Source organism: Homo sapiens, chromosome 10, assembly GCF_000001405.40.
Source record: "Homo sapiens chromosome 10, GRCh38.p14 Primary Assembly".
Lineage (NCBI taxonomy): Eukaryota > Metazoa > Chordata > Mammalia > Primates > Hominidae > Homo > Homo sapiens.
In genome coordinates, this window is record NC_000010.11 from 77,870,369 (window position 1) to 77,889,744 (window position 19,376).

The 19,376-nt window shown below is 49.8% G+C and overlaps 1 protein-coding gene across 11 annotated transcripts in view, besides 2 other annotated features; it reads right to left on the reverse strand.

Annotated features, from left to right (window-relative positions):
- DLG5 (discs large MAGUK scaffold protein 5) overlaps positions 1 to 19,376 on the reverse strand; it is a 149,946-nt gene that overhangs the window by 79,578 nt on the left and 50,992 nt on the right. The window contains exon 1 of one of the 11 annotated variants that reach the window (XM_011540342.2): positions 19,061 to 19,133. The exons of 8 other annotated variants lie outside the window; for them this stretch is intronic. In XM_011540342.2, the coding sequence (XP_011538644.1) occupies positions 19,061 to 19,094 (34 nt within the window). In that variant the 5' untranslated portion in view covers positions 19,095 to 19,133. Of the gene's footprint in view, positions 1 to 1,982; positions 2,482 to 3,295; positions 3,663 to 19,060; positions 19,134 to 19,376 lie in introns of those variants that run through there. 2 more of the 11 variants (XM_017016914.2, XM_011540341.4) reach the window with 2 other exon arrangements.
- Positions 7,063 to 7,357: a silencer, noted in NCBI's record as "tiled region #8551; K562 Repressive non-DNase unmatched - State 19:H4K20". NCBI's record gives its function as "represses a minimal TATA promoter and a strong SV40 promoter by Sharpr-MPRA in K562 cells {active_cell/tissue: K562}" and the evidence as "EXISTENCE:reporter gene assay evidence [ECO:0000049][PMID:27701403]".
- Positions 7,437 to 8,376: an enhancer, noted in NCBI's record as "NANOG-H3K27ac-H3K4me1 hESC enhancer chr10:79637563-79638502 (GRCh37/hg19 assembly coordinates)". NCBI's record gives its function as "activates a minimal SCP1, AML or CMV promoter by ChIP-STARR-seq in naive H9 embryonic stem cells {active_cell/tissue: H9 hESC(naive)}" and the evidence as "EXISTENCE:reporter gene assay evidence [ECO:0000049][PMID:30033119]".

Consider the following 19,376-nt stretch of genomic DNA (forward strand, 5'->3'; position numbering starts at 1 on the left):
GAAATGTGGAGGACCACATTTAAGGAGCTCCCAGCAGGGCACGGTGGCTCACACCTATAATCCCAGTGCTTTGGGAGGCCAAGGTGGGCAGATTGCTTCAGCTCAGGAGTTTGAGACCAGCCTGGGCAACATAGTGAAACTCCATCTCTATAAAAAATACAAAAAATTAGCTGGGCGTGGTGGCACGCACCTGTAATCCCAGCTACCTGGGAGTCTGAGGTGGGAGGATCACCTAAGCCCAGGGAAGTCAAGGCTGCAGTGAGCCATGATCATGCCACTGCACTTCAGCCTGGGCAACAAAGTGAGATCCTGTCTCAGAAAAAAAAAACAAAAAACACTCTTCCACTGCAATTCTTGACTAGCCACCCTACACGCATCTTTGGACGGGAAAGAGGAGAAATGAAGAAATGGGGGTAAATGGGGGAGCGGGGCAGGGGAGGGAGATGCACTGTAGGTGGGAGGCCCCTGGGGGACAGGAGAGACCTTGAGGGGAAAGCAGGGAGACTTTGCTGGGGAGGTGAGGACCATGCAGGAGGGCAGAGAGATAGACTGCAGGCAGGCGAGCTAGCAGGCGTGTCCATCAGAAAAAGAGATGAAGGGGGAGAGAAAAAAGAGAAAGCAAGCAAAAAGCAACTTTGGTAATGGCAAGCACTAGGACAGGCGTGACCGGCAATGACCAGTAGCCTCATTATCACATTTTCAGAGACTCTGAAGAATCTGAAGGCGTTGAGCATGGGCTGAAGAGAATGACTGGGGAATGGGTAGGTGTCTTGTCTCTCAATACGACTGTCAGAAGGGATTAGATTTGTTCTTGATGGCCTCCAGCAGCCAAACCAGGAGCAGCGGGTGGATGCTGGAGAAAGCTGCATCTCTAAACAGGTCTGGATGGCCACGGTCAGCACTGCCAGGTATGAAAAGCCTGAGGGTGAGGGGGTGAGACAGTGAGGGAGGCCCAGCACTCAGTGGCATGGATGTCATGGGGAAGTCTGTGCATCTGAAGGGAGATGAAACCAGAAAACCCAGTTCAGCCTTAAAATTCTATGATCCTGCTAATAATGAATAACCCATGCTCCACCTCCCATATCTGAAGTCCAACCCACACTATTAGTTTTGCTGTACATTCAATATCTCTGCATTTTTGTCTCAACAAAAACAATAAGCATCACACTTTTTTTTTTTTTTTTTTTTTTTTGAGACAGAGTCTTGCACTGTCGCCTGGGCTGGAGTGCAATGGCGCGATCTCGGCTCACTGCAACCTCCACCTCCTGGGTTCAAGCGATTCTCCTGCCCCAGCCTCCTGAGTAGCTGGGATTACAGGTGCCCACCACCATGCCTGCCTAATTTTTTCTATTTTTAGTAGAGACAGGGTTTTGCTATGTTGGCCAGGCTGGTCTTGAACTCCTGACCTCGGGATCCACCAGGCCTCAGCCTCCCAAAGTGCTAGGATTACAGGCATGAGCCACCATGTCTGGCCTGCATCACATGTTTTTTTAACCCATCTCTCTTTCTATATCATACACATTACATGTTGCTTCAATATCTGTGAAATAAAGTCAAATGCAATTCGGGCAATCCATTGATATCTTCAAAGAACAAGAACCCAACACAATGCCTATTTTCTAAACTCAACTACCATTTTTTAAATAGTATTTTTTCTTTATGGGGGCAAGGAAGGCTAGCCACTGACATGTTGGTGGATTGTTTTTGGAAGACGTCTACTCAGGAAAGCAGGCACAAATAAATTTCCCCACTCTCACCTCCAGAAATCTCTATGCTCAACCCATCCCAGCTTACGACACTGGCAGCCTGCGCTCCAGATGCCTCTGCTGGAACGCTCCCCTCTTTCTTACTCTTGGCATCAGCAGTGCCCCTTCTTCCAGTAAACTGCCCCTCCTCTTCAAATCGTCTCTCTCCTCCCCTGTGGCAAGTTTCCACTGTTAATTAAGCTTGGCAGATGCCCTTCCCTCTCTCCGCCCACCTACCTCCCTGGCTGGGGGAGTCCACAGGCCAAGCGACACGTTCTGTTCCTCTTCCCTGTCCCTGCAGTCCTGACTGGCCTCTGGGGCCTAACCAGGGCAGCGTGACATCTTTGTGTGCATCTCTGGGCATCACTCCCACCCCCAACCCAGGGAGCTGGCAGGGCTCCTAGGAGCTGGTGGGGGGAGTGGTTAAAATTGGACAGGACCCAGTTTTTACAATGTTCCCAGAGCCTTGGACGTCATTAAGGGGGAAAAAAGGCCCAAAGACGACATTGTCTCGGTCATGCTTTGTCTCTGCGGTTATTGTTGTCCTAAAGGCCTGTGTGGTCAGGACAGTCAGGAAAAGGCAAAAGAAGCCACTGTCCCCCAAAGTCACACGGTGTCCTTTCAAGGCCGGTTGCTTCCATGGGGCGGAGGGGCAGGTGTCGGCGTCATCTACCTCTGGGGTTTCGCCATCAAATTTGGAGTCAAATTTGGTGCTCCTCATCTTCTGCCATGGCCCAATCCAGGAGGAGACAATTTCCCCAGGTTCTCCTGAAGGCACCTCCACCCAACCTGCCCTGAAACCTAGGATGGGCTGCTGTGGAAGGAGAAACAGTGTGGAGGGACATTCTCTACCTCACAGAGTGCCCAGGGCTAAGGGGGACTGTAGGATCAGCCTCCTGATGTGTGTGTGTGTGTGTGCACACACACACACACACACACGAGAGGAGGGCACCAACCACAAACTTGTGCAAGCTACCAAGTACCATGCAGAGGTGCTGATGAGATCCAGAGAAAGTTGGATGATGTGGAAACATTTCCAGAAAAGGGGAGCTTGAGGCCAAGTTTAGACGTGGACATGTGGGCCAGAGCGTGATATAAGGAGATTCTTTACTATCAAAGGAACTACCTGGGCAACGTAAACTCTTATTCAGCAGATGAGGGTGGGGTTTCAGAATGCATTTCTCACAAGCCCCCAGGGCACATGCTCTACACACTGGCCCAGAGCTGGAGTCCACAGGTGGGATGCACATGGAAGCTGCAGCCAAAACCCTGGGAGAGGTGGAAGGAAGCCACTGGGAGGAAGCCAGCCTGGTGACCCTCTGGGACTGGCCCACGGGCACTGTCTGTGTCCTTTCCAAGAGCCCAGCCCCTGATAATTCTGTTTACCCCGTGACTCAGTGCCACTGGGTCACGAAGACCACTTCAAAAGAAATTCCAGGAAAAACCACCCGAACAATAATGGAATGCCCCAGCCCTCCCAGGCCCCCTCCCATAGACCATGAGGCCCAAGAGAGATGGAAGCACGCCCCCAACACACCCCTTCCATTCACCTGGAGCTTGTAAAGGCCCTGGTGACTCACGCTTCCTCTTCGTGAAGCTCACAGTGGCTGAAGGAACTTGTTCCAGCCTTGAACCAGCACACAGAGTTCTCCCTGTCCTCCAGAAGGGCCCAGGCAGAAAGGCAGAGAGCTGACGGCTCACGGTCACAGGGAGGCCAGCACCCCCTACCTCAATCCCCAGGGAAAGGAGAGGGAGACACCAAGCTGCTACTCTCTGGAGCTCTGGGGTCCCTGAAGACAGAGCAGGAAGTGCTGCCTGGGCCCCAGGAGGACAGTCACTTTCAGGGCACCTGCCACATCCTGCCGCCCTCCTCCAGCTCACACTGAGGAACCACAGCCTGACGAACCACAGCAGAATGACCGAAGGTGCCCAATCGCTCCCGGACTCACACGTGTCAGCCAGGTTTCCAACACGTGCCCCCCGCCTAGCATGGCACTGGGCCAGGTTCGGGAGAAAGAATGGCAAGCCAGGGGCTCAAGAGCCTGGAGGTTACTCATCTGCTGTGAGTAGCCTTCAGAAGAAGGCCCTTCTCTCTGAGCCAAACAATAATGATTGCAGCACAGCTGGGGCCAAACTGCTTGGAGTTAACTCCCAGCCCAGCCCCTTATGAGCTGTGTGCTGTTAGGTAAGTCACTCTGCCTCTCTGTGCTTCCACATACTTATCAGTAAAATGGGATGATAGAAGTGCTTATCTCTTAGAGCTGTTTGAGGATAAACTGATTTAATGCAGGTTGAGTATCCCTAATCCAAAAATCTCCAAAATCTGAAACTTTTTGAGCACCAACATGACACCACAGCAGAAAATTCCACACCTGACCTCATGTGATGGGCCAGTCAAAATGCAGGCGCAGGATACAGTTTATTCTGCTTCCTCAAAGGAAAAACAAAATTATCTTCAGGCTATGTGTATATAAGGTGTATATGAAATGAGAATACGTTTCACATCTAGACTTGGGTCCTATCCCCAAGATATCTCATTATGTATATGCAAATATTCCAGAATCTAGAGAAATCCAAACCCCAAAAACACTTCTGGTTCCAAGGATTTCAGATAAGGGATATTCTGCCTGTTTGTGAAAAGTGACTGAAACAGTACCTCGCATAGCCGGTACTCTAAGTGTTAGCTGGTGTTATTATGGTCAGTCCAGACCTGCAGAGGGCCCTTCCAACTCTGCTGTTCAATTCCTCAATTACCTACATGGAAAGCTGTACTAGAGTGACAAGTCACACAATCTACAAGCAAACTGCTGCACTGTATATGGCACTCTCAAGAAAAATAATAGCAGCTAATAGGTACTAAGCACTACTAAGTACTGGGACTGTGCTAAGCACTTTGCATGTATTGCCTCCATTAATTTCCATAACAACCCAAAGGTTGTCATTATTAGTCCCATTTCACAGAGGAAGAAACTAAGAGTTAGAAAAATTAATTTGCTGAAGGTCGTGCTAGGGCTACTAAGAGCACAAACAGGATACAAACCCAGGCAGTCTACCCCAGCGCCTGTGCTCTCAAATCCTACACACAATACTGCTGCCCGGCTCCACAGGGAAGAGCAGTCAGAGAGGACTTCATGGAGGCAGGGGCCTGGAGCTGGCCCTGAAAGGTGGTGGCCTTGGATAAGCACATGAGAAGCCCGATCAGCTTGCAGGAGACAACAGGCGGAACCCATTTCTCTGGAAGGGTAAGAAGTCTCAGAGCAGGGCTGGCTTGGGCCAAGGCCCCCCAGCCTCTATTCCCTGGGAATGGGCTCACCTCCTCCCTGCCCACCTCCCCACACCGAGACAACACTCAATAGGCATTCTGAGCTGAGCCACTTCCACCCAAGTGGGAAGAAAGAGAAGGAGCTGTGGCTTCATGGCCCCCATTCCATACCCATGCCTGTGCTGCCTGCAGAGGGGAGTCGCAGTGTGTGGGCAAGCCTGCACTCAAGAGCCACTCAATTCTGTGAACTGCAGAGATGAGGAAGGAGGTGACCGTGAAAGTTGCGGAGTGCTATCACCTTTGGCAGAGCCCACCTTCTCTGTTTTAAAGACCTCCTGGGATGCTGGGGGGACAGAGGGCTCATATCCTACTATTAGGCTACTAGGAAGCCTGCTTGCAGAACCATGCTCAGTTCTCAGGAGGGAAGAAAGGTGGCAGGGAAAAAAAAAAGAAAAGAAAAAACTACACTCAGGGCAGCCCCAGCCCCTCCCTAGGGGCTCGGCCTCCTACCCTTTAAAAGCACGGCCCAAGGCTACAGACACTGAAACCCAAACTGGGAAGCGGACAAGGCCCAGTATTTCAGGGAGGTATAGGTTGACCATGGCCCTGGAATGGAGCAACCACAGACACTGGCATGTCATCAAGGAAGTCCTGCTGATGCGCCTTATATGCCACCCGAGGGTGGGAAAATCCTACTCTTGGTTTGTAAGTTAAGATTTAATATTTGTTTTCCTCAACTGAGATAATGCTATAGTATTTTCCACCAAGTTTTGGAACAAGCAGCATCACTGCGCTAAAAAAAAAAAAAATCATAATGATGTGGATTCCCCCTATTTCTGGTCGTTATAAGAACTGCTCACCTATCTTTAAAAGGTAAAGGTGGCCAGGTGAGGTGGCTCATGCCTGTAATCCCAGCACTTTGGGAGGCTGAAGCAGGAGGATCACTTAGGTCAGGAGTTCAAGACCAGCCTGGGCAATATAGCAAGACCCCATCTCTCTTTTTTTTTTTTTTTTTTTGAAAGAGAGTCTCACTCTGTTGCCCAGGCTGGAGTGCAGTGGCACAATCTTAGCTCACTGTAACCTCCACCTCCCAGGTTCAAGCTATTCTCGAGCCTCAGCCTCCTGAGTAGCTGGGACTACAGGCATGCACCACCATGCCTGGCTATTTTGTATTTTTTAGTAAAGACGGGGTTTCACCACGTTGGCCAGGCCGGTCTCGAACTCCTGACTTCAGGTGATCCACCCCAAAATGCTGGAATTACAGGCATGAGCCACCACACCCAGCCAATCCCATCTTTTTTTTCTAAGAGGAAGGAAGGAAGGAAGGAAGGAAGGGAGGGAGGGAGGGAGGGAAGGAAGGGAAGGAAGGAAGGAAAAAAAAAAAGTAAAGGGGAAGGGGCATTGCCCAGATAATTGGAGATTTAACCTCAGGTATGCAGTGAGATCTGTGTGGGGTGGCAGGAAGGAAGATGATGGCTGCCGAGCTCTCTGTCCATTCTTTTTTTTTTTTTTAAACTTTATATTTTAAAATAAATAGAGACAGGGTCTCTCTTTGTTGCCCAGGCTGGTCTCAAACTTCTAGGCTCAAGCAATCTGCTCGCCTCAGCCTCCCAAAGTGCTGGGATTACAGGTGTGCGCCACCACACCTGGCTTTTGTGTCCATTCCTTAACACATTCCCTAACCCCTTCCCACTGGACTTTTGAGGCCATTTATAAAATAATGAACTAAATTGCCTGAACCTGAGAAAACTCTCGTATCAATTTTGCCATCTGTGACTCCCCTCCCTTCCCCACCCAAAATGCCCCAAGGCAAAAATATGTAAAGAGAGGGAAAACAAAACATGTGCACCCCAGAATTAAATCATTCAGTACCATGCAAGACCCTTCACTCGCTAACTACAGGACTGGTTTTGGTCTTTTTCTTTACTTTTTTTTTTTTCCTCTTTTAAGTGGCAAGTGACAGGGACTAAAAAAAAATAAAATAAAACTAGCACATAAAGGAAAGATGGAAGTTTGTTGAATTTCGAGGGATGAAAAGAGTCCACAGTTGGATAGCCTGCTTGTCTTCATCAGCGAAGCAAAGGCTCCTGGAGGCTTTGGGATGAGCACAAAGCCTGTGTCTGATGAAAGCCACCCTCTTTGTTCTGCCTCCCTTCAGAGCTGCCGGGCTGCAGGTTGGGGATGGGAGCAGGGAGGGAGGGAAGGCAGTGGGAGGACCTAAGACCATCAAACCTGACACCAGGTGGGACCACCTCTCGGTTCCTGCTTTCCATCACCAAAACCAAGCCCTGCTCCCTGCTGTCACTTCTGGCCAGACTAAGACAGTTCTGCACCTAAAAGGCACAGGAGGAGGCCCAAAGAGGGTCTGATTAAGGAGGAGGATGGGGCCATCGTGCTATGCCCTGGAAGGTGGGGGTGGAGGGGGGACAACGAACATAGCCAAGCCTGACAGCACCCACAAGGCGAGGTGTGAAGGAGTGGAGCAGCGCCTCTGCCCCGCCACCCTGACAGCACATGTCACACCAAACCCAGACAGGAAATCTGAGCAGCAGGGGCACCCAAGAGGCAGCCAAGCCTCCATTATGCTCCAGCCGGACATCCCCCGGGGGCCATGTCTGCCCTAGAATAAACTTCTGATAAGCCCCAGAAGTCACAACAGGCAGGAAGCAGCTCTCTGAAAGGCACCGGGCACCCCCGGCTCCCTCCTGCTCTGGCCCGGTGCTCAATTTCCACTAGTCAGTAAATGGAGAAGAGGCTGCCTCCCTCCCACACAGGATGGAGCGCATACCTTGCAGAGTACACTGCCCTCCACCCTCCCAGGGCAACTGTAGCAAGGCAGGCTCTGCGTCAGACCGGCTGGCTCAGGCCTGCCACTCACCAGCTGTGTGACCTCAAATAAGTTGCTTCTACTTTCTGTGCATTTCCTCATTTATAAAATAGGAAGAATAGTAGGTGATGAGAACAGAATGAGCAACGAGAGGGAAAGCCCTTAGAACAGAGCCAGGCGCACAGCAAGCGATCCACAAACACCAGCTCTCGTTACTGTTACCGTCTCACAGGCTCCTAAGGAAGGCAGGGCATGGGGTGGCCTCTGCAGTGTACACAGACAGCAGATGCTATGGAAGGGACCTGGAGGACAGTCACGCAGCCTTCCCTTGACTTCTGGAGTGTTTTGCTGGTTAGAAGCTCTGCATTGAGTACTCTGTATACTTCCCATCACCATCTCCCTCAGGAGCTAATGCTTCCCCCTCAACCCAGCCATGAGTGTCGCCTCTCAATACCTGAATACAGCTCTATCTATGCCTGTGGATAAGGAGGCTTCCTCTCCCCTCCCACCATTCCACGTGGCCATGGCAATTCCAAGCCATCCCCAGCATCCCTTATGATTTCTGGTTCTCTGGTTCACAAAGAAAAAACCAGAGCGCTCACAGTGTGCCTGGAATCATACCAGGCTTGCACCTCCACTCATCCAGTCCTGGCTCCCACCACCTACATACAGACATCAGTCAGTGCCCTGTAAAAGATGCTACGCATTGGTGGGCATGTCTGTCCCCGGAAACACAAGGCCCACTCATTCGCCAAACGCTGGGTTAATGCTGGGTGAAGTACTGGGATGCAGCAGGAAGCAAGATGGACAAATCCCTGCCCTCATGGAGCTCACATGAACAGGGTGACAGGGGCGGGGGAGAAATAAACAAACATAAACTGTATTGGGTAGTAAGTGCTATGAAGAAAAATGTTGCAGAGTTAAATGGTAGGTGGTGGGGGTGGAGAGGAGATGTGGCTATTGTACAGCGGTGGCAGGGGTCTCTCTGGGCAGGTCATCTTTCCCCAGAGACCTAGAGGAAGCGTGGAGTGCCAGAGGAGGGAATAGCAAGTGCAAAGGCCCTGGGGCCACCCCATGCGGGGAGACCTGTCTGCTGTGGGTGGAGGGACCTGGAGGAGGATGCAGATGAGGTCACAGGGGCAATAGGACAGCTCCAGGCAGAACCTTATGGGCCACACAGAGGATGCAGGGCTTTATTCAGAGTGAGACGGGAAAACTCTGGAAGGTTCTGAGTAGAGGAAAGCCATGATCTGACTTACATCTACTTAGGCTCATTAGATGATTTGTTGAATGTTGTCCACAAGCAGGGAAGCATAGAAACAAGTCAGACAGCAAACTCGCAAGTCCAGGGGAGCAATGCTGGGGGTCTGGACCAGAGTGACAAGAATGGTGTTGGTGAGAAGTAGCTGGATTTGAGGGATATTTTGGAGCTTTTCTTTCTTTCCTATTCCACATTTGGCTTGGAGCAGAGCTGAAAGGATCTGCTCATAGGCCCAATGTGGAATAGGAAAGAAAGAAAAGTCAAGGATGACTCCAGGGTTCTTGGCCTGGAAACTGGAAGGATGATGTTGGTCCTTGCTGAAAGGGGGAAGCCTGCAGGAAAAACAGATGGGGGAGGGAGTTGGGGAATCATGAGTTCCCGCGGGGCCTGGTCATGCGTGAGGTGCCTACAGACACACAAGGGAGGTGTCAGGCAGGCAGATGGATGTACAGGCCTCAAGTTCACTGACAAGGTCATGGCTAGAGATGTAATCTGAGAATTGTCAGCATATGCTTAGTATTTAAAGTGATGAGCCTTGATAAAATCACCCAAGGAAGGAGTACAGACAGCAAGGGCAGTGGAGAGGTCCAAGGAATGAACCTGAGCATGCAGGGGCTAAGGGAAGAGAAGAGAAATCAACCAAGAAGACAGAGGAGAAGTGGGTAGTGAGATGGGAGAGTCGACCACACAAGTAAAGAAACTGAACACAGCCGGGTGCAGTGGCTCACACCTGTAATCCTAGCACTTTGGGAGGCCAAGACGGGTGGATCACCTGAGGTCAGGGTTTCAGGACCAGCCTGGCCAACACAGTGAAACCCCGCCTCTACTAAAAATACAAAAATTAGCCGGCCATGGTGGCGCATGCCTGTAATCCCAGCTACTCAGGAGGCTGGGGCAAGAGAATTGCTTGAACCCAGGAGGCGGAGGTTGCAGTGAGCTGAGATTGCACCACTGCACTCCAACCTGGGCAACAGAGTGAGACTCCATCTCAAAAAATAAATAAAAACAAACAAACAAACAAACTGAACACAACTGCATGTGGTCAGGTCTTAAGAGAGGTGCTCAGATATGCCCATGTTGCTTAATGGTGAAGGTAAGACAGACACACAATCCTCCCGACTCCTGATCAAGCTGAATCTGCACTCCACCTACCCCCTGAACTTCCCCAGTTATCAAGGAGGCTGATGGAAATGAGGCAGAGCATTAGGGAGACCCTTCAGTGTATACTAGGCATCCTACATGGCACAGCTCATGTTTTTGTTGTTACACTCTACTCATATCAGGTAACATTTATTGAGTACTTGTTGCAAGAAAGGCACTATTTGTATGGATTATTTCATTTAATTCTCCCAACAATCCTACAAGGTGGGCCACTATCAACTCACCTTCTAGATGAAGAAATGTAGGCTCAGAGAAGCCAAGTAACTTGCCCAAGGCCACAAAGCTAGTAAGCAGAGGGTCCCAACTCAAGCAGGACTCTCATCCACTAACCCTAGACCTTTTTTTTTTTTTTTTTTTTTTTTTTTTGAGACAAAGTCTCACTCTGTCACCCAGGCTGGAGTGCAGTGGTGTGATCTCAGCTCACTGCAACCTTCATCTCCCGGGTCCAAGTGATTCTCCTGCCTCAGCCTCCTGAGTAGCTGGGGTTACAGGCATGTGCCTCTGTGCCTGGCTAATTTTTGTATTTTTAGTGGAGATGGGATTTCACCATGTTGGCCAGGCTAGTCTTGAACTCCTGACCAGACCTCCTCCTTTCTGACAAGATCAGAAAAAGTGATACTCACTAGTTCCTTCTCCCACTGGATAGAAAAAGATGCAAGCAGGCATCCCTCGCCCAGTGTCAACACTCAGGGAACAGGAGATACCTAGTAATCACTACTGGCAGGTCAGGAGCTCTTCTCCAAGCAGGCATGCTATCTCGTGGCCAGCATGCAGCACTGTGGCCAAGGCCATCTTTCCAACAGAAGGAAAAAAGGGAAGCATGAGAAAGAAGGGTTCCAGTCACCTCTGTCACAGCTCAGCTGCCAGCCTTGTCCTCTAGTCCTGGCTTCAACCTCTCTGGCCTTGTCACTCCTCTGGCCGTGGATTTCTCTGGTCCCCCTCAGAAGAGACTAGTACTGTCTCTGGAACAAGCTAGATAAATATCTCCATCCTGGGTCTTTAGAAGGCAGCAAGAAATGGAGTGGGCCAATGGAGTTTCAGGAAGCTGTTTATGATTCTGATGCTTAGACCAAATGCAAAAGAACTGTAAAGGTGTCCCTCCCCCACTGTCCCTTCGTGCCACACCATCCCATAATGGCATGTTCCATTAATCTCAGCTCAAGGTAAGCTGAGTCATCAGCCAGAGAAAATGATGGCTCTGGGAACTGCCCAAGTCACATGGCATGAGCTGGGCATTAGGCAAGGACATGGCATCCCAGGCTTCACAGGTCGGGGACATTCTGTCCACAAAGGCCAAAGAGGGCAACTACAAAGGAAAAGTCTTATCTAAGACATCAGCAAACGGGTGCTGTTTCTGCCCCCTCTTTCTTCAATGTCATCTACACTGCCCTCCTCATCTACTTCGTGGGCTGCATTGAGAATCACTGACCACCAAGGCAACTCAGCCTGGGTCTGTAGTAGCAGCAACTAGGGCTCCTGAGGTCATGGAGAACCCCTTGCCCACCACAATATTCCTGCTGAGTTTGAACTCGTCAGGACCCCTGCCATAGGGCGGGAGGCACAAAGTGACCCCATACTGTGGAAAGGGCCCAGGATCAGGAGCTGGATGGACATGGGCTCCCTCTGCTTTGGCCACCTCCTAATCAGTGACCAGGAGCAAATACTTTTTCTGAGCCTCGGTGTCATTTGCACACTGAGGCTAAAAGTCTTTATACAGTCAGTATTTCACAGGCTGTCGTGCAGAGCAAATGAAATACTGGATGCTGAAAGTGCTTCGTAACTGCTAATAAATGATCCATTTTTCACCTCCTCAGGAGGCTCAGGTCTATCTCTGTCCCCGACTCCACTGCAAATCTTTCCCAGTCTTCCTTCATGCTTCTCTCTACTTTCCACTGTCAGCCTCTTCTCTTCCACAAACTCCTTCTTCCTTCTACTCTTATTCAAAACACAAACAACAAAAACAACAAACATGCATACAAAAGGAAAAGGAATTAAAACGCAAGAAGGCCAGGTGCAGTGGCTCACGCCTGTAATCCCAGCACTCTGGGAGGCTGAGGCAGGTGGATCACTTGAGGCCAGGAGTTGGAGACCAGCCTGGCCAACATGGTGAAACCTCGTCTCTACTAAAAAAATACAAAAAAAAAAAAAGTCAGCCTGGTGTGGTGGTGCACGTCTGTAATGCCAGCTACTCGGGAGGGTGAGGCACGAGAACCTGGGAAACAGAGGTTGCAGTGGGCCGAGATCACTCCACTGCACTCCAGCCTGGGTGCACTCCAGCGAAACAATGTCTCAAAGAAAAAAAAAAAAAACACCCAAGAGCTTCACCTCCATTTCTCTCCATTAGAGGTGTCCAAAATCTCTGGGCCCTCAGGGTGGACCACACCTCACCTAGTTTCACGCAATTCTACGCTGACTTTCATTACTATGGGTGAAAGCTCCAGCTTCTGGGCCTTGGAGTTCAAGAATGCCCAGGGTTTTTGAACACAGGAATAAGCAAGCAGGTATGAGCTTCAGGAACCTGTCTCCAGCAACTGTGAACTGGAAGGATGGAAGCAGGGAGAGCCTGGAAGCTGAGAGAACAGTTAGGATGTTCCCACAAGAGCTGCCCTTAACTACTGGTCATGGGGTACGGGTAGGGAGAGGGCCCAAGACCACAGGTAGGGAAGAATGGAGGATGGTGCTGAGGTTTGTGGTTGGGGCATCCCAGAAGGTGACACAGTTAACAGAGGCAGAGGATTAAAGGAGGAGGAATGAGATCGTTGAAATCCATCAGGTAGAATGCACTAAAGAAAATCCCTGTGAAGACAGCCTGCTGACACTCAGAAACTGGAATGTGGCACCACAGAGAAAGTTTCAGGCTAACACAGTCCACTCCAGAGTCACACCATTGAGCCTGCAGGATGTGAGTGACAAGCCCAGAGTCACTAATTGGTAATGTGAAGCCCCTGGGTTAGAAAAAAACATAAGACTCAATTTGAACAATGTCATTGGGAAAGAAAAAGAAAAAACAGAGGAGAGGGCTGGATCTATGGACCCCCTAAACAGTGACTATGAAGTAACATTGTTCTTTTTTTTTTTTTTTTTTTTTTTGAGACGGAGTCTCCCTCTGTTGCCCAGGCTGGAGTGCAGTGGTGTGATCTCAGCTCACTGCAACCTCCCCCTTCTGGGTTCAAGCAATTCTCCTGACTCAGCCTCCCAAGTAACTGGGATTACAGGTACCTGCCACCAGAAGTTGGCTAATTTTTTGTATTTTTAGGAGAGACAGTGTTTTGCCATGTAGGCCAGGCTGGTCTCAAACTCCTGACCTCAGGGGATTCACCCACCTCAGCCTCCCAAAGTTCTGGGATTACAGGCGTGAGCCATCACGCCTGGCCTGAAGTAACATTGTTCTAAGTGTATATAAAGTTCAGAATCTGGGGAAATACTTCCTGTGAAGACAGGAGGAAAAAATGAGTTTCTGGAAAAGACATAGAAAGATCACTTGGAGCAGGGGTAGGAGGAGCAAGAGAATGATGCATCCTAGAAGGCAATGGGGTGGAGGGAGCCTGGAGGGGTTGGTCTGCCACACCAAATGCTAGGGAGGACTCGGAAGCAAAGAAACTTCTGATCTGGTCATTTGGAGGTCAAAGATGCTATGCATGGAGTCAATTAAGCAGGCAATTGATTGGCCCTGTTTCTCCATCTGAGAATTGAAGGGCTTGGATAAGACCAGAAAAGGCACAAGGTGCATCTTGAAAGAGCAGCCATGCATCACACCGCCTGCCTGAGTACTGTGCCTAAAGCCATACCTCAGCTCACTGGGAAAGGACCCCACAGTGGATCAGCAACGTCTGCCTTGGGCAAGTCGGGCAAGAGTATCTCATCCCCGGAGCACATTGTTTCTACAGACCTGTCCACCTCCAGAGACATGGTTCATGGTGGTCGGCACTTAGCAGGCTTCCCGTAATTAATTACTGATTGGAATTAAACTCTGCAATCTAATCTGTGTCTCTGACATCCTTTAAATGACTGTGACTCAAGGAGCGCTCAGGGAAAAATAAAAGGACAATTATCTTTTTTCCATCGACTTCTTTTGAGGCCCCGAGAAACAGAAAGTCTGAGAGTTTGGCTATCAGAGGCGCTCTGGGCAGCCCTGCCCAAAGCAGATGATCCTCCAATCCAAGACGGGCCCTCAGATGTTCCAAACATGCTTCCTCTCCGATAAAGTAACACCGTCCAGGAGGGTTCACCCTCATTTTCACAGTACTCGGTGTGCATTTTGGAAATGGCGGACTTCAGAAGTCCATTCCTGAAACTGCTGGGACTCTTTCCAATGTTTTACAGAAAGGACGCTGCACACACTTACCTGCAGACATCCACTGAGGTATCCAACGCTCACCTTTGTCACACCCAGAGCAGGAGTGAGCTTTTAAATGAGACTTTGGGTACTATACACTCAGGCTGTCACCTCCTATCCCCCCACAAATAAAGATAAAACAGCACAAGCATTCTTCGCCCTAAAACCCTATAGCAAGCTTTCATCATGACCCATTCCACACCTGTCATCTCAGTACATTCAAGTGCTCACATGGGCCCTCAGCTAGAGCATGAGCCCATTCTTAGATGCCTACGCTCAGAAAACAGGCCCATGCTACTCTTTGTTTAAATGCAGAAAGAGGAGCTCCCCCTAAAACACTCCAAGCAAAATCTGGACACACAATGCCTTCAAATTGCCCCAAGTCAACCACAGAAAATGGAAGAGGAGATCACAGAAGGATTTCAAATGCATAAAGGGATGTAGATTATCTTTCACACGTGGGCAATGCTCAGAAAAGTTGATCTTGAGTAACGAGGGAAAATATTTCATTCACTATCTTGTGCAAAGAGAAAAAAACCAAAATCCACATCCACGACCCTGGAGTACAGCAAATGGAATCAAAGTGTGCCAGCCCCCAAAGATTCCAGCCTCCTGCAGCTCCTGACCCTCTGGCCATTTGCAGGGAGCTCTGCAGGCAGTCTCATCTCAATGGACTGGGACCCTCCAGCCTGCACCACTATGGCTGCTCTACTCTCCCTGCCCCCTGAGCAAGGCAAATGCTTAGTGAAAGTGTGAAGAGTAAGAGTTGAATCTGCATTTTCTAGTCAGACTTCAGCCCTCTCATAGTTTAAGGGGCATCCCCTCTACCGTCCAGCCCTGACATCCTACAGGTGTTCAGAGGGGGCGTGACTGAGCCAGGTCACACAGCAAGCTGGTGCCAGTGCCAGGAGTGAAACAAGCCCACAACTCTGATGAGCAGGATGAGAGGAGGAAGGGGATGAAGGAAGTGCCCTCCAGCGAAGGCAAGAGTGCAGGAATCCCTAGGTAGAGAAAGGTCCCCCCAGATAAGCACCTGGACACCCTGTGCAGGCTGTGAGAGCCAACAGAGAGGGGCAGTCGGTCAACAGAGCTTCTGGCCAATGGCTCCCAGCCTGGCTGTTCATCAGAATCATCCAAGCTGCTCTTTAAAAATGCTGGAAAAAAATAAAAATAAAAACCAAAAATGTCTCAGGACCCCTTCCTATCCCCAGGAATCAGCACCTCCAGCATTCCAGGCTTTTAAGATGCTGCTCAGAGTCTCTGGTGAGTGGCTCAGTTGGGGAATACCACCAGGGTCTGCACACGCACCCTGGGCTTCCTGCCCTCTGAGCTTCCTGAACACTGCCACTGACCCTCAGCCAGAAATGCTTGCCCCCTTAGGGTACCGTTGTCACTAGAGAACCGTGTGAGAGTAGTAATGTTGCTTTTTTTTTTTTTGGAGACAGAGTCTCGCTCTGTCACCCAGGCTAGATCTCAGCTCACTGCAACCTCCACCTCCCAGGTTCGCCTCAACCTCCCGAGTAGCTGGGATTACAGGCACACACCACCAGGCCTGGCTAATTTTTTGTATTTTTAGTAGAGATGGGGTGTCACTATGTTGGTCAGTCTGGTCTTGAACTCCTGACCTCAAGTGATCTGCCTGCTTTGGCCTCCCAAAGTGCTGGGATTATAGGCGTGAGCCAACGCGCCCTGCCAGTAATGCTGCTCTTATGGGCTGAAGTGTATTCCCCCAAAATCCATATGTTAAAGCCCTAACCCCTTCTGCAGTTCCTCAAAATATGACTGTATTGGAAGATAAGGTCTTTAAAGATGTAATAAAGTTAATATGAGGCCATGAGGGTGGGCCCTAATCCAAAATGACTGGCATCCTTATAACAAGAGATCAGGACACAGACATGCACAGAAGGAGAACTGCATGAAGAACTGCACGGAGAACATGGCCATCTGCAAGCTAAGGAAAGAAGCTTCAGAAGAAACCTGCCCATCTGACGCCCTGACCTTGGACTTCCAGCCTCCAGAACTGTGAGATAATCCATGTCTGTTGTTTAAGCTTCCTGGTCTGTGATACTCTGTATGGCAGCCTTAGCAAACTAATACAGTTGCAACCATTTACCCATGCTCTGTGCAGGCCCTTCCAATACAGACATCACCCACATACACTATCTCACTTAAAACTTCAGCCCCCAGGACAAACGTATTGCTGTTAGCCCCATTTTACAGACAAGAACCCCAAGGCTCTCCAAGATCAAGGAACTAACCCAAGATCATTCAGCTAGAAAGTCAATGACCAGATGCACCCACCTCCCAGCCCTTTGCCTGTAACTGCTCCTGAGCTGCCTGAGTCCTCAGTCCTCTCTGCCATCCGTCCTGGGCCCACTCAGCAGCTGCAGTCCTACCCCACCTGGATGAACACTGTCTGAGCCCACTGTGCCTTCTTTCCCAGCCTCAGGCCCCCAGCAGACACTTCAGGGGAACACTGACTTGCTATCATCTGTAGTTTTTGAAACTTTTTCTTTCTTTTATTTTTTAAATAAGCACTGTTGCTTTGGTAGTCAGAAAAAAAAATTAATATTAAAGAGAAAAAAGCTAACACGGTTAAGAGTTTCTATTGAATCTGTAGCCTGTGTGGAAAGAAAGAAGTGATCAAAAGGAATATATTTGGAAAGGCTACTAAGAATAAAAACAAACAAAAAAAATACAAGCTGCCCTTGCCAATGTCCCATCAGCTGAGATGAGATAAGAGATTCATGGGGCAGAAGTAAGGCTGCTGAGGCCAGAGATCCCAGCCAGGCCATCTCCAGAAAATATCTATTTTTAAAGTCACGTTCCATTTCATCACATTTCAGAAAAACAAAGAAGAGACCTTGAGGGACAGACAAACAGGCTCCAGAGCCACACGCCTTTGTGTGTGCTCACAGCAGCAGCAGCCGTGCCTACAGCCAGCCGGCGATTTTCATCTGAAAAACTCAGATCTCTCATGGCAGAGAGAGTTCCACACCGAGCTGCCATCATCATGCAGCCCAACAAAGCAGCAATTTTCATATTTCCTAGGGCCTGCTGGGCTCCCAACTTCTTAGTTTAAATGGAAACTGTCAGACAGGATTTTGTGCAAACATGCGTTTTCCTCGGGGGCAAACATTCTGAGCCTACAACTTGTTCTTTCATTTTGAGAGCTTTTTGTCCATGGTGACTACATCAAAGATGAGAGGTGGGCGGGGAGGGCTGTTGGGGAGCACCAGAGAACAGAGCAAATGCAAAGTGCAGGGAGAGCAGAATGAATTACTAGGAGGCAAAGTGCGGCAGGAACTTATGTGCCTGGCCTCCTCCTGGGCAGCAGCCTCAGAGGAAAGACCTTGGCTGGCTCTGCTCCCCACCTCTCCTGCAGCCCCTGCGTGGACAGCCCAGTCTGTGTCAGCACCTCTTCCCTCGGGTGACCTACAAGGTCCTGGAGAGGAAAATGGTAGCAAAGAATGTGCAAAAAACCATGATGACAGAAGACAGCAGAATTCCCATATGAATAGGATTAGGTAAGAAGGGGTTAAATGTGTTAATATTCATCAGGCGGAGCTTTGCGACATAGTTTTAGGCAATGGTACTGACTCTTCTGGAATCATTTTAAAGGGCCACTCGCTTTTTCATTATAAGTCCATTCACTGGAGCCTCTTAAGATAGTCTCAAAAGACAGATAGGAATGCGCCCAAATCCACCTGCGCACCAACACCGTGTGCCAAGCAAATGGAATCCTCGGGAAAGGACACCCATTAAGGACCATCCCAAACCCCGTTAATATGTACATGTTCCTCTCAAGCTTTATGCATTAAACCAAGTCAACTAATATTTTCCAAGCTCTTTTAAGATGTGTGGTCTTTTATATGTGGGTTGTGTGTGTGTTTGAGGGGTAGTGACGAAGACACCCCCATCAAGATAACTGAAGAAGAACTGCCCAAACTGAAACATTCAAATCTCCAAACGTCTCCATTCCCCCTAGGTGTTTGCATTTCAGTGGATAAGATGAACACCTGGCTGTGAAGCCCACAGGTAACCTCCCAGGCCTCACAAGCCCACAGGTAACCTCCCAGGCCTCACAAGCCCACAGGTAACCTCCCAGGCCTCACAAGCCCACAGGTAACCTCCCAGGCCTCACAAGCCCACAGGTAACCTCCCAGGCCTCACAAGCCCACAGGTAACCTCCCAGGCTTCACAAGCCCACAGGTAACCTCCCAGGCCTCACAAGCCCACAGGTAAACTCCCAGGCCTCACAAGCCCACAGGTAACCTCCCAGGCCTCTGCCAAGCAGAACCAATGAAGTCTGTTGACACAAGTCACTAGGGAAAAAAAAAAAAAAAAGTCTCTGCAACTCTGTGCTCCCCATTATCAGAGAAAATGAGGTCTGTTCTGGGCCTCCCAGCTCTGAGCTGGCTGCCCTGGGTGCAGCCTTCCCCAAAAACTCTGGGTATCCAGCCCTCACCCGTGCTGACAGCGCACTCTGTCCACCAGCTCATGACAAAGGCCACTTGTTTCCCATGAGTGTCCAGAACAGTGGCTGAACCAGTCAACCCAGTCGGGGACTGTGGTCCTGCTGGATGGGCGGTGACAAGAGCTCACTGTGACCTCAGCAGACAATTAGCAAGGCGGTGTCGAGTTACTGAGCTCCAGCAGGTCACCTGCTAGGCTGGGAGAATGGACAGAATGCAGGTTCCAGACCCAAGAAGGGGTTAGGCAGGGTCACAGGCTACTTCATCTGCCTCCGTATCTTTATGCTAAGCACTGCACCCTCTGACATT